The sequence below is a fragment of the Homo sapiens genome, chromosome 6, assembly GCF_000001405.40.
Source record: "Homo sapiens chromosome 6, GRCh38.p14 Primary Assembly".
Classification (NCBI taxonomy): domain Eukaryota; kingdom Metazoa; phylum Chordata; class Mammalia; order Primates; family Hominidae; genus Homo; species Homo sapiens.
Window position 1 is genome coordinate 51,886,281 of NC_000006.12, and position 13,286 is coordinate 51,899,566.

General features: G+C 41.6%; 1 protein-coding gene across 23 annotated transcripts in view; it reads right to left on the bottom strand.

Annotated features, from left to right (window-relative positions):
• The window catches only part of PKHD1 (PKHD1 ciliary IPT domain containing fibrocystin/polyductin), a 472,317-nt gene that overhangs the window by 270,982 nt on the left and 188,049 nt on the right, over positions 1 to 13,286 (bottom strand). For all 23 annotated transcript variants that reach the window (XR_001743469.2, XM_017010944.3, XM_017010945.3 and 20 more), the window contains one exon: positions 853 to 965. Coding sequence is in view for 22 of the 23 variants with exons in the window: in XM_017010944.3 (XP_016866433.1) it covers positions 853 to 965 (113 nt within the window). In the remaining variant the exon portion in view is untranslated. The remainder of the gene's footprint in view (positions 1 to 852; positions 966 to 13,286) is intronic.

Sequence of the window (13,286 nt, forward strand, 5' to 3'; positions counted from 1 at the left end):
ATTCTGTCCTTCTGCCTTTTCATGTGACTCTCTTCTCTTTACCATCGAACTGTTATGATCTAGAAAATAATGCTAACACAATTATATACAAAAGCCAAGACATAGAGGCAGCCAAGATGTCCATCAATAGGTTAATGGCTGGGGAAAATGTGGTGTATATTTGCAATGGAATATTATTCAGCCTTTAAAGAGAAGGAAATCCTGCCATTTGTGACAATACAGATAAACCTGGGGGACACTGTGCTGGGTGAGGTAAGCCAGACACAGAAGGGCAATAGTACATCATATCATTTAAATGAGAAATCTAAAATATTCAAACTTATAGAAGCAGAGAGTAGAATGGTGGTTGGCAGGGGCTGGAAGGAGGGGAAAATGGGAAGTATTAGTCAAAGGGTACAAAGTTTCAGCTATGCAAAATGAATAAGTCCTAGAGATATACAGTATGGCAAAATGCCAAAGTATAGAATACAGCAAAATTAACAATACTATATTCTATACTTAAAAATTTGCTAAGAGGTCAGATTTTGTGTCAAACGTTCTTACAGTAATAATAATAATTCAAATAAAGAGGCTCTGGAGGAAAACTTTTAGAGGTGATAGATATGTTTGTGACACAGATGGTGATGATGGTTGCAGGGGTGTATACTTATCTCCAAACTCATCAAGTTGCATACATTAAATATGGACAGCTTTTTGTATGTCAATTATACCTCAAAAAAGCAGTTTCAGAAAATGCACAGGAACATCACCCAATCTCCAACAAATGCCCAAAGTGCTCTCATTGTGAGCATTCTACAGTAAAATGTGAAATCATAAGACAGCCAAAACATAGATGAATTTCCCCAAAGTTACCTGGTACAAGAATGTGCAATGTTCTGAGTGAAGGAAAGAAGCGGAGCTTGTGATGTTTGGTTGGTCATGAGATGGAAAAAGTAGCCATAGCCAGCACCACACACTCTGTTCCCCTACAGAAATTAAGAAGAGTTAAAAAATAGTTACCCCATGTATGATAAGGTTGCTGGAAAGAAAGACTCTTGTTTGTACTCATCCCAATTTTATATTCACTTTCTGCCAAAGTACATTAAAACTCTATTATAGACTCATTTATTCTTTTTTTTTCCTTTTGGGAACAAAAATAGTGATATGGTTTGGATTTGTCCCCCTGCCCATATCTCAGGTTGAATTGTAATCCCCAGTATTGGAGGTAGGGCCTGGTGGGAGGTGACTGGATCACGGGGTCAGTTTCTCGTGAATGGTTTAGCACTGTCCCCCCTTAGTACTGTCCTCACCATAGTAAGTGAGTTCTCATGAGATCTGGTAGTTTAAAAGTGTACAGCACCTTGTGGCTCCCACCTTGTCTTGCCTCTGTTCCTGCCATGTAAGTTGCCTGCTCCTGCTTTGCCTTCTGCCGTGAGTAAAGGCTCCCTGAGACCTGAGACCTCCCCAGAAATTGATGCTTCCATGTTTCCTGTATAGCCTGCAGAACCATGAGCCAATTAAACCTCTTTTCTTTATAAGTTACCCAGCCTCAGGTATTTCTTTATAGCAATGCGAGAATGAACTAATAAAAATATTGTCATTCTTCTTCCTCCAGCCAGCTCAACTAGACTGCAATTTGCCCATCTTAATAACTGGTATCTCATGCTCAAGCCTCTTTCTAAGCTTCCACAGTGAGTTTACTCATGACATCTAAAATTCTCCTCTTTGGTGAATGCAACAGTATATGGTAGCTCTCCAAGGCAAAGGTGTACCTTGAAGTCAAGCCTACACAATGTGTTCTCTCTGGCTCTTTGAACAACTCAACGATTTGTCTATTGGCTGAAGGCCACATGATTGGACCAGTCATGACTTAGTACCAAGACAGGGTGACTGAGTACAACTACAACTCAAATCTCTTCAAAGTGCTCTTGTCCTGAATAGACTATTAAGTCGCCTTGATATTTCTTTATAGGTCTTACTATCTAAATAATTTCATGTATTTTATGTGTTCATATAAAATCTGACTTCTCTCTCTTGGACCATATGAGTTTGGGGATCTAATTCTGATCAAACTGAACACAATGAGGTTATCTTTATAAATTCAATGAAGTACCTACAATATGTTCATCCCTATGTAACATAGACTTAAGACAAATTAAAAAACTGACTTCCTAAAGGTTTAAGACTGTACACAGATGTATTTTTTTTTGGCCTACCCAATGTTCATATTTTTTTGGTTCCAACATGTTCAAACCAAGAGATTTAATAAAAAATTCAGACTTTCAGCTTTTCTGAGCCCAAATTCCTGTGAAGTAGCCACAGGTCAGGTGAAGATAAGAAGGGCCTTCCTTCTTGGACTGTGGATGATTTTTCCACAGTCCTCACCCTTCCTGGTTCACTCATTTATGATCCCTGCCTAGTCTCTGCAGTATTTGAATTTGCAACCTCAACTACAGGCAACAAAGTAAATAACATGTTGGCTATTCTATGAAAGTTTCTATTTCTGCTTTCCTGAATCACATCTGAGTTCTCTCAGTGTCACACGCTCACATCTTAAGGATCCCAAGCCTTCTCTTTATCATCAGGGAGAAAGAACTCTGAGAAAAATCGGGGCCCTATCAGGCTGCTGCACTGCAGTGATGCTATTAGTGGGAGGAACAAAGGGCCAATCGATCAAGCTATGAGACTACTTCCTATGTGCCCACGTGCATCTGACCTCTCTCAGTCTGAGTGGTTGTCCAAAGTCAAGATGCCCATGTCTACCTGGAGAACAGAAGTTAAGGAATAGGCTGCTCAGGTGTAAGCCCTGTGCTACATAGATGAAGGGAGTCTCCAAGGCTCCCACATGATTCAATCCTGATCACCTGGGGGTTTTCCATGGCCTGGCTGGTGCGAGACAAGGAATGTCTGGAGTATCCTCCTTGGAAGTCACTCAATCCCGGGAACACAAACTATGGGGCTTGGAGAGCTCATCCTGAACACTGGCATTAGGGTCACAGTAAAGAGAATGGGGAGTCATAAGGACCATGACACTGTGCCACTCAACAAGACATTAAATGCCTTTCTTTAAAAAACAATACTTCAGTGCAGCCCTCTATGCAGGGCTCAGTGGGGACTACGCTGTGAGCATCCCCTTGGAACAGTTTCTTAAACTTTCGTGTGCAACCTGGTAGAGTTGTCATATTTAGCAAATAAAAACACAGAATGCCCAGTGAAATTTAAATTTCAGATAAAAAATAAAATATTTTAGTATAAGTGTGTCGCAAACACTATCTGAAATTTAAATTTGACCAAATATGCTGTATTTTATCTGGCAGGCTTTACCTGGGGGTATATTAGCCAAAGGTTTTTAGATATTTTGATTTATTAGGGGGGTGATGAGGAAGGGATGAGGGACAGTATTCTTTACTCTTGGCCATCACAAGGTGCTCTGATAGGTCTGCTGCAGGTGATATTTTGACCCCATTTTGAGAACTACTTCTCTACAGGTGATTGAGAGAGTAACGCTAAGGGTTACTAACGTTCCTAGGAGACATTCAAAGAGGAGAGAGACACTAGAAAAACCACTTCCTGGTGAAGTTTTTTGCCATGAGTTGCTTTGGGAACCCACTGCAAATGGAAGCCACTGCTGAAAACTGAAGGAGGATAGAGACCTAGAAATCAGGGGGAGAATCCATTGCCAGGTACCCAGCAAAAATGCTGCCCAGCTCAGTGCAAGTTATATTTATGGTGGATTTTTTTTTTCCCTTAGAAGTATTTTTTTTTTAAGTAATGATGAGTAGAATAATAACACTCATAGTGAAAATCTACAGAGAAGGCACTACAGTCCAGGTACTGGATTTTAGAGTCTCATTTATTTTTACAATAGTTTTATGAGTTTTGTATTATTATTACAGTTTCATAGCAAAGAAACTGAAGCTCAGAGATGTTGAGTAACTTTCCCAAAGTCACAGAGCAAATAGTTGTCAGAGCCAGCTCCATCCAAGTCCAAGTCTGGAAAAGTTAGAGACTAGAGTAGAGAAATGAAGGTAGGACCCAAAGGCAGGATGCCCAATAATAGGGTGCAAGTGAAGAAACATAAACAAGAGAGTACAAAGAAAAGTCTTGTCACCCGGTCACGGACAGAACAGGCATTTGCTGTGGCCTCCCCAGTAGTGGAGACAACATATTGAACAACATCCTTTGCAGAAGTCAATGTATCATGGACATTCACGCAAGGGAAATTCCAGAGAGAAATTAACTGTCCAAGTAAGCCAGCTCCTAGAGGTGTGCATCTATAGTCACCAGAAAAAAAAAAAAAGTGAATTAATCCTTAAGGCACCGGAGGTAGTGTTTGATTTCTCCAAATCTGGAGAGCATCTTGCAGGCCAGATTTAACTAAGGAGTTGCTCTTTTCACACCCCAAATCCAGAGAATGTAAAATCCTTCTCATTCTCACCACATGGGGAAAAAAGCATGCACAGCTTAGCGTGCACAGAGAGATACATGGGTAGGGGTGTGGGACATTTCTCAAGAGTAGGAAGAAGACATGACATTTTGAAGAGTACATTTAAGGAGGATGAGGGTTCTGGAATTTCAGCATTATGGAGATCAAGTGTTATTAAGGCTGAGACATGTTGATGAGGACTGGCTTCTGACACAGGAATTTTGAGCAATGACAGATGAAAAGACTGAGATTATCTGCAGTTGTCATCTACTATCAGTGCAGACAGTAGGGCTATGGACTGAATGCAGACAAGGGTTAGAATTTAATGAGGAAGTTCTGACCCATCCAAGGACAGGGTCTTGCACTAGCCTTTCACACAGCTCAGGGAGTTTTACTACATTCTCAGTAAGGATGGATTGAGAGTGAGGACTCCATACCCTTTTACTTGTAGCTATTCTCCATTTCTTTATCCTTAGACTAAGTAAACTCATTTCATCCTATGGCTTCAGTCATTCTAGACTAATATTTTTATTGACTTTAATTTCCAAATGAAAGGAAAACTTCAGGTTTTGGGGTTTTGTTTTTTTGTTTGTTTGTTTGTTTTCTTTTTTGAGATGGAGTTTCACTCTTGTTGCCCAGGCTGGAGTGCAATGGCACGATCTCGGCTCACCGCAACCTCCACCTCCCGGATTCAAGCGATTCTCCTGCCTTAGCCTCCTGAGTAGCTGGGATTACAGGCATGCACCACCATGCCTGGCTAATTTTGTATTTTTAGTAGAAATGGGGTTTCTCCATGTTGGTCAAGCTGGTCTCAAACTCCCGACCTCAGGTGATCCGCCCACCTTGGCCTCCCAAAGTGCTGGGATTATAGGCATGAGGCACCGTGCCCAGCCAACTTTAGGTATTATTAAGGGTAACTCTCTGAACATGGCTGATCCACTGGCAGTGATAATATAGCGGCACCCCCAACAGGAGAAGAACTTAAAGACCCTATTCCTTCCTGAATGTACCACATGTTCCACAAGGAACACACACACACACACACACACACACACACACACACATTCAGCCAAGCAAAGACAGTATGGGGGAGAAAACTGAAAAAGATTGCTCTTAACCCAATAACGCCCAATTCCCTGCCTTGTGTGACAGAAAGAACCAATGCCTCAACCCCTGGAGGCCTTCAGTTTTGGGGGAAGTGTGAGTCAGGGCCAGAGTTCCCCCTGAAACTAGAAGCCTGACCAGCAGGCAGCAGCCAGGACCTGGTCAGGGAGGCCAGCACATACTGACACAATTGCCCCGGGCTGTTTATTTAGCTTTAGCTTCAATTCACTGTGGGTCCCAAAGGTTCTTACCCTGGGTATTTGTAAATAGACAGCCATTTCTTCCTCATTTTTCATTCGGTTACAGGATGTTTTGTTCCTTTGTGGACTAATTGGCCGAGTCACTCCTGCACTTCATTATTTTGGAGTCTGAGCAATTCTCCAATTTCCTAAAAGCACTTAGAATTCTAATCACATGTCTCACCTACCACAGGGTGCTCACCAAAAGTGACTTTTGGATATCACTGAATATTAAGATGAATCACTATCAAAGATGCCAACACGACTTCAAAGAATCAGGTCCATTTCTAAGACTTCAATGGTCTTAGGGTGGCCTAGTCTAGAGTGGTGGTTGTCAATCAGGGATGACTTTGTTCCCTACGGAACATTTAACAGCCTCTGGATACATTTTTTATTGTAACAACTTGGAGGATGAAGAAGAGAGAAGAGGGCTACTGGTATTCAGTGCATAGATACCAGGGATGCTGTTATACAGAGGATAGGCTCGACAACAAGGAATTACCCAGCCCAAAATGTCAATATTGACGTAGTTGAGAAACCTTGGTCTATAGTCTACACTAGAGTCACATATTAGCAAAATAACCCACACTCATTTTCCAGTATCCCATCTCCAAATTTTGATGGAAAGACAAGCCTAAATATGAAAACATGGTTAATTACAATAAGAATGCTTTAATAGTCTTTACTAGGAAACTATTGATATCATTTAAAACCATTAGATGAGGCATCAGGCATTCCCATTAAAAAAACATTTATTAGCATTAAATCAGCTATCTCAATTTTTCTCTTGTGCTAGAAAACAGAGTATGCACTCCTGCTTCTTGGCCTCAAGAAGAATCACTGTCTATTAGTTGGCAAATATAAGTGCCCAGTGTATCTCTTCAGCCCTTGTAAATATACAAAGAAATACCACAGCTGTTGTTCTCAGTCACGATTACACAACACAAACTTTCCCCAGGGAAGTGAAACTCCACCTTCTCTAGGTGTGTCTCTCTATATCCACGAGCCTTGGGAAAGGTCAGCGGTACATAAGAACCGAGGGCCAGAGAAGGGGGCTTCTTAAACACCCACCTTGTCTGCAAGTATACAATGAGAAATGTGGACTGGAAGCTAAAAGTGATCATCTCACTTGTCCACACAGCTCTATTTCATTACCAAGGAAATGCTATTTCATTACCAAGATTTTATGAGGAAAGAAAAGATTCTTAAATTTAAAAAATATATTCCAAGGACTGCATCCTTATTCATCACCTTTGCCAGCACAGATGCTCAGAAAGCACGTGTTTCCCTGAATAAATGGGTTTGTTGAATCATCTGCCCTAGTGCCATTAGCATTTATGGCACATCTGGGTGATCACATATAAACACTTTCCAAGCGCATTTATAGGTGGGCAGGAGACTGCAACTTTGGTCCTCTGTTAGCTGATAAGACTCACTTTTCTTACAAAAGAAGCACTTTAACAGTCAGATCGCATTCCTTCCTGGCCCTTCTTACTCTCAACTCCAATTGTGTATGCTACAAATGATTCATGAGGAAAAACCACATATTTATGCAGGCAGCTGGCAGCTTGCGGGGAAGGTTTAAGGCAAGCAGGGAATTTTGTGTGGAAATCAATTATTTGCGGAAGTCAATGTATTATGGACATTCAAGCAAGAGAAATTCCAGAGAGAAATTAACTGCCCAAGTAAGCCAGCTCCTTGAGGTGTACATCTATAGTCACTAGAAAAAAAGTGAGTTAACCCTTCAGGCAGCTCTTAAATATGCATTACCTATTGAGTGGGGAAAGCTTGAGAACTGAGGTTGGGCCTTTAAACAGAATTCCTTACAAAATTGATTCACAAACCAGAACAAATTCTCCTCAAATTAAATGCATGTCTCCAAAGGGCTCTTCTTCAGAGTTTTTCCACGGACTATCCTAAACAGGGGTCTGGTTATAGGAAATTTCCAACACCTACATAAACATGGGAGACTCTGAGCTCTGGAAGTGAACAGTCCCTTGCTGTTTGAGAGCAAAGACTTCCCAACCAGAGAGAATGAGAACAGATTCACACAGGTTATGTCTTCTGGAAAGATGCAGCCTCTTGACAGATAACAAGGAGCTCCTGTCAAAGAAGTCCTAGACTCCGGAGCTGGAGCTGCTGAGGGAAGACAGCCTGAGGGTGAAGCGCTCTAAGAAGCTACAGGTGATACACAAAAGAACCACCACCAACTTGCTTTTGGAAAGCATGGCAAACGCCTATTTAAGAAATGTACCAGGGAATGCCACAGGCCCCTGGAGACTCAAGCACTTATCACCCATGGGTCCTCACTGGCAAGAAGGTACAAAGCTCAGGTTTTGCTTCTCAGTGAAACTGCCCTGGACTCACCTCAGCTGCAGGCTGGGCAGGGAGAGAAGCAGACCACCTGTGAACATCAAAACTAAAAAAGAATATCATATTTGAAATTTACTTGCATCATGCCAGGTTGAATGTAAGTGAACTAGCAAGGTGACTGACTGCAAGCCCAGCTGAATTCCTTATGTTGTGGCTGAGAGTTTGGTCCCAGCTCTGCATCAGGGCAATTTGAGAATAATATAAAACCACAAACCATTGCACAGACTTAAGAATCATTTCCCCTGCCTACCTACCTTCCAGGTCAGAGATTTCAAGGTCAGACTCAGGTATGTGAGGAGAGAGAGTTTAGGCTTTCAGAGTTGGTTGCCCAAACATGAAGATTAGGCCATCTTCTTCAAGTCTAAATAAATACATTTGTTTAATTAATACTATCATACCAATGTCAATGTCCTGGCCTTGGTACAGCTCCATGACTATGGTTATCGTTATGTTATCATTGGAGGGAGCTAGATGAAGAGCACATAGGAATTCTCTTATTTATGCAGCTTCTCGTAAGTCTGAAATTATTTTAAAATTAAAAGTTTAAAATAACAACAAAGAAAAATCCTAATTAATCACAATTTTCTATCACATCTCTTTCTGTTCCACATATTATACACATACACACAAATACATGCACATACATACACACACACCTTGTTATTGTGGAAGCCTCCTTATTATCCCTTTGGAATAAAGGTATATTTCTAAAATATGTTCTTCAAAGTACTCTGTATATCATCCATACAGGACACAATTAACACTAACTCAGCCAAGAATGGTGGCTCACACCTGTAATTCCAATCCTTTGGGAAGCCAAAGTGGGGAGATCACTTGAGACCAAGAGTTTGAGACTCGCCTAGGGAACACAGGTTTTTTTCACGTATACCCAGTTACCACCTATGTCTTTAAGTAATGGCACATCACAGACAATAGAATGCAAAAAAAGACTGAATAACAGAAAGCCAATGGCACAACTGAAAAACTGGACTAGACTTTGCAAGATTTAATGCTGATAGCCCAACAGAATCTAAATGCTTCCACTGACTAAACTTATTTTTCAGTCATCAAAATGATTTTAGAACTTTGGAACTTGTTCTTTACTTTCCTTTTTCTTCCCCCACATAATTTGGTTATAGGTTTATACCTTCATTCGTTATATTAAATACATTTTTTTTTGAGCAACTACCATGTTTTAGAAATTGTGCTAGTGTCTAAAGGCTAATGAAAATAGAATTAGAACTTTAAGGTCACCGGAGGAGCCAAGATGGCCGAATAGGAACAGCTCCGGTCTACAGCTCCCAGTGTGAGCGACACAGAAGACAGGCGATTTCTGCATTTCCATCTGAGGTACCGGGTTCATCTCACTAGGGAGTGCCAGACAGTGGGCGCAGGTCAGTGGGTGCGCCCACCGTGCACAAGCCGAAGCAGGGTGAGGCATTGCCTCACTCGGGAAGCTCAAGGGGTCAGGGAGTTCCCTTTCCTAGTCAAACAAAGGGGTGATGGACGGCACCTGGAAAATCGGGTCACTCCCACCCGAATACTGCGCTTTTCCGACGGGCTTAAAAAACGGCACACCACAAGATTATATCCCGCACCTGGCTCGGAGGGTCCTATGCCCACGGAGTCTCGCTGATTGCTAGCACAGCAGTCTGAGATCAAACTGCAAGTCGGTAGCCAGGCTGGAGGAGGGGCGCCCACCATTGCCCAGGCTCGCTTAGGTAAACAAAGCAGCCCGGAAGCTCGAACTGGGTGGAGCCCACCACAGCTCAAGGAGGCCTGCCTGCCTCTGTAGGCTCCACCTCTGGGGGCAGGGCACAGACAAACAGACAACAGTAACCTCTGCAGACTTAAATGTCCCTGTCTGACAGCTTTGAAGAGAGCAGTGGTTCTCCCAGCACGCAGCTGGAGATCTGAGAACGGGCAGACTGCCTCCTCAAGTGGGTCCCTGACCCCTGACCCCCGAGCAGCCTAACTGGGAGGCACCCCCCAACAGGGGCACACTGACACCTCACACGGCAGGGTACTCCAACAGACCTGCAGCTGAGGGTCCTGTCTGTTAAAAGGAAAACTAACAAACAGAAAGGACATCCACACCAAAAACCCATCTGTACATCACCATCATCAAAGACCAAAAGTAGATAAAACCACAAAGATGGGGAAAAAACAGAACAGAAAAACTGGAAACTCTAAAAAGCAGAGCACCTCTCCTCCTCCAAAGGAACGCAGTTCCTCACCAGCAACGGAACAAAGCTGGACGGAGAATGACTTTGACGAGCTGAGAGAAGAAGGCTTCAGACGATCAAATTACTCCAAGCTACGGGAGGACATTCAAACCAAAGGCAAAGAAGTTGAAAACTTTGAAAAAAATTTAGAAGAATGTATAACTAGAATAACCAATACAGAGAAGTGCTTAAAGGAGCTGATGGAGCTGAAAACCAAGGCTCGAGAACTACGTGAAGAATGCAGAAGCCTCAGGAGCCATGCGATCAACTGGAAGAAAGGGTATCAGCGATGGAAGATGAAGTGAATGAAATGAAGCGAGAAGGGAAGTTTAGAGAAAAAAGAATAAAAAGAAATGAGCAAAGCCTCCAAGAAATATGGGACTATGTGAAAAGACCAAATCTACGTCTGATTGGTGTACCTGAAAGTGATGGGGAGAATGGAACCAAGTTGGAAAACACTCTGCAGGATATTATCCAGGAGAACTTCCCCAATCTAGCAAGGCAGGCCAACGTTCAGATTCAGGAAATAGAGAGAACGCCACAAAGATATTCATCGAGAAGAGCAACTCCAAGACACATAATTGTCAGATTCACCAAAGTTGAAATGAAGGGAAAAATGTTAAGGGCAGCCAGAGAGAAAGGTCGGGTTACCCTCAAAGGGAAGCCCATCAGACTAACAGCGGATCTCTTGGCAGAAACCCTACAAGCCAGAAGAGTGTGGGGGCCAATATTCAACATTCTTAAAGAAAAGAATTTTCAACCCAGAATTTCATATCCAGCCAAACGAAGCCTCATAAGTGAAGGAGAAATAAAATCCTTTACAGACAAGCAAATGCTGAGAGATTTTGTCACCACCAGGCCTGCCCTAAAAGAGCTCCTGAAGGAAGCACTAAACATGGAATGGAACAACCGGTACCAGCCACTGCAAAATCATGCCAAAATGTAAAGACCATTGAGACTAGGAAGAAACTGCATCAACTAACGAGCAAAATCACCAGCTAACATCATAATGACAGGATCAAATTCACACATAACAATATTAACTTTAAATGTAAATGGACTAAATGCTCCAATTAAAAGACACAGACTGGCAAATTGGATAAAGAGTCAAGACCCATCAGTGTGCTGTATTCAGGAAACCCATCTCATGTGCAGAGACACACATAGGCTCAAAATAAAAGGATGGAGGAAGATCTACCAAGCAAATGGAAAACAAAAAAAGGCAGGGGTTGCAATCCTAGTCTCTGATAAAACAGACTTTAAACCAACAAAGATCAAAAGAGACAAAGAAGACCATTACATAATGGTAAACGGATCAATTCAACAAGAAGAGTTAACTATCCTAAATATATATGCACCCAATACAGGAGCACCCAGATTCATAAAGCAAGTCCTGAGTGACCTACAAAGAGACTTAGACTCCCACACATTAATAATGGGAGACTTTAACACCCCACTGTCAACATTAGACAGATCAACGAGACAGAAAGTCAACAAGGATACCCAGGAATTGAATTCAGCTCTGCACCAAGCGAACCTAATAGACATCTACAGAACTCTCCACCTCAAATCAACAGAATATACATTTTTTTCAGCACCACACCACACCTATTCCAAAATTGACCACATACTTGGAAGTAAAGCTCTCCTCAGCAAATGTAAAAGAACAGAAATTATAACAAACTATCTCTCAGACCACAGTGCAATCAAACTAGAACTCAGGATTAAGAATCTCACTCAAAACCACTCAACTACATGGAAACTGAACAACCTGCTCCTGAATGACTACTGGGTACATAATGAAATGAAGGCAGAAATAAAGATGTTCTTTGAAACCAACGAGAACAAAGACACAACATACCAGAATCTCTGGGACACATTCAAAGCAGTGTGTAGAGGGAAATTTATAGCACTAAATGCCCACAGGAGAAAGCAGGAAAGATCCAAAATTGACACCCTAACATCACAATTAAAAGAACTAGAAAAGCAAGAGCAAACACATTCAAAAGCTAGCAGAAGGCAAGAAATAACTAAAATCAGAGCAGAACTGAAGGAAATGGAGACACAAAAAACCCTTCAAAAAATTAATGAATCCAGGAGCTGGTTTTTTGAAAGGATCAACAAAATAGATAGACTGCTAGCAAGACTAATAAAGAAAAAAAAGAGAGAAGAATCAAATAGACGCAATAAAAAATGATAAAGGGGATATCACCACCGATCCCACAGAAATACAAACTACCATCAGAGAATACCACAAACACCTCTACGCAAATAAACTAGAAAATTTAGAAGAAATGGATAAATTCCTGAACACATACACTCTCCAGAGACTAAACCAGGAAGAAGTTGAATCTCTGAATAGACCAATAACAGGATCTGAAATTGTGGCAATAATCAATAGCTTACCAACCAAAAAGAGTCCAGGACCAGGCAGATTCACAGCCGAATTCTACCAGAGGTACAAGGAGGAACTGGTACCATTCCTTCTGAAACTATTCCAATCCATAGAAAAAGAGGGAATCCTCCCTAACTCAATTTATGAGGCCAGCATCATTCTGATACCTAAGCCGGGCAGAGACACAACCAAAAAAGAGAACTTTACACCAATATCCTTGATGAACATTGATGCAAAAATCCTCAATAAAATACTGGCAAAACGAATCCAGCAGCACATCAAAAAGCTTATCCACCATGATCAAGTGGGCTTCATCCCTGGGATGCAAGGCTGGTTCAATATACGCAAATCAATAAATGTAATCCAGCATATAAACAGAGCCAAAGACAAAAACCACAGAATTATCTCAATAGATGCAGAAAAGGCCTTTGACAAAATTCAACAACCCTTCATGCTAAAAACTCTCAATAAATTAGGTATTGATGGGATGTATTTCAAAATAATAAGAGCTATCTATGACAAACCCACAGCCAATATCATACTGA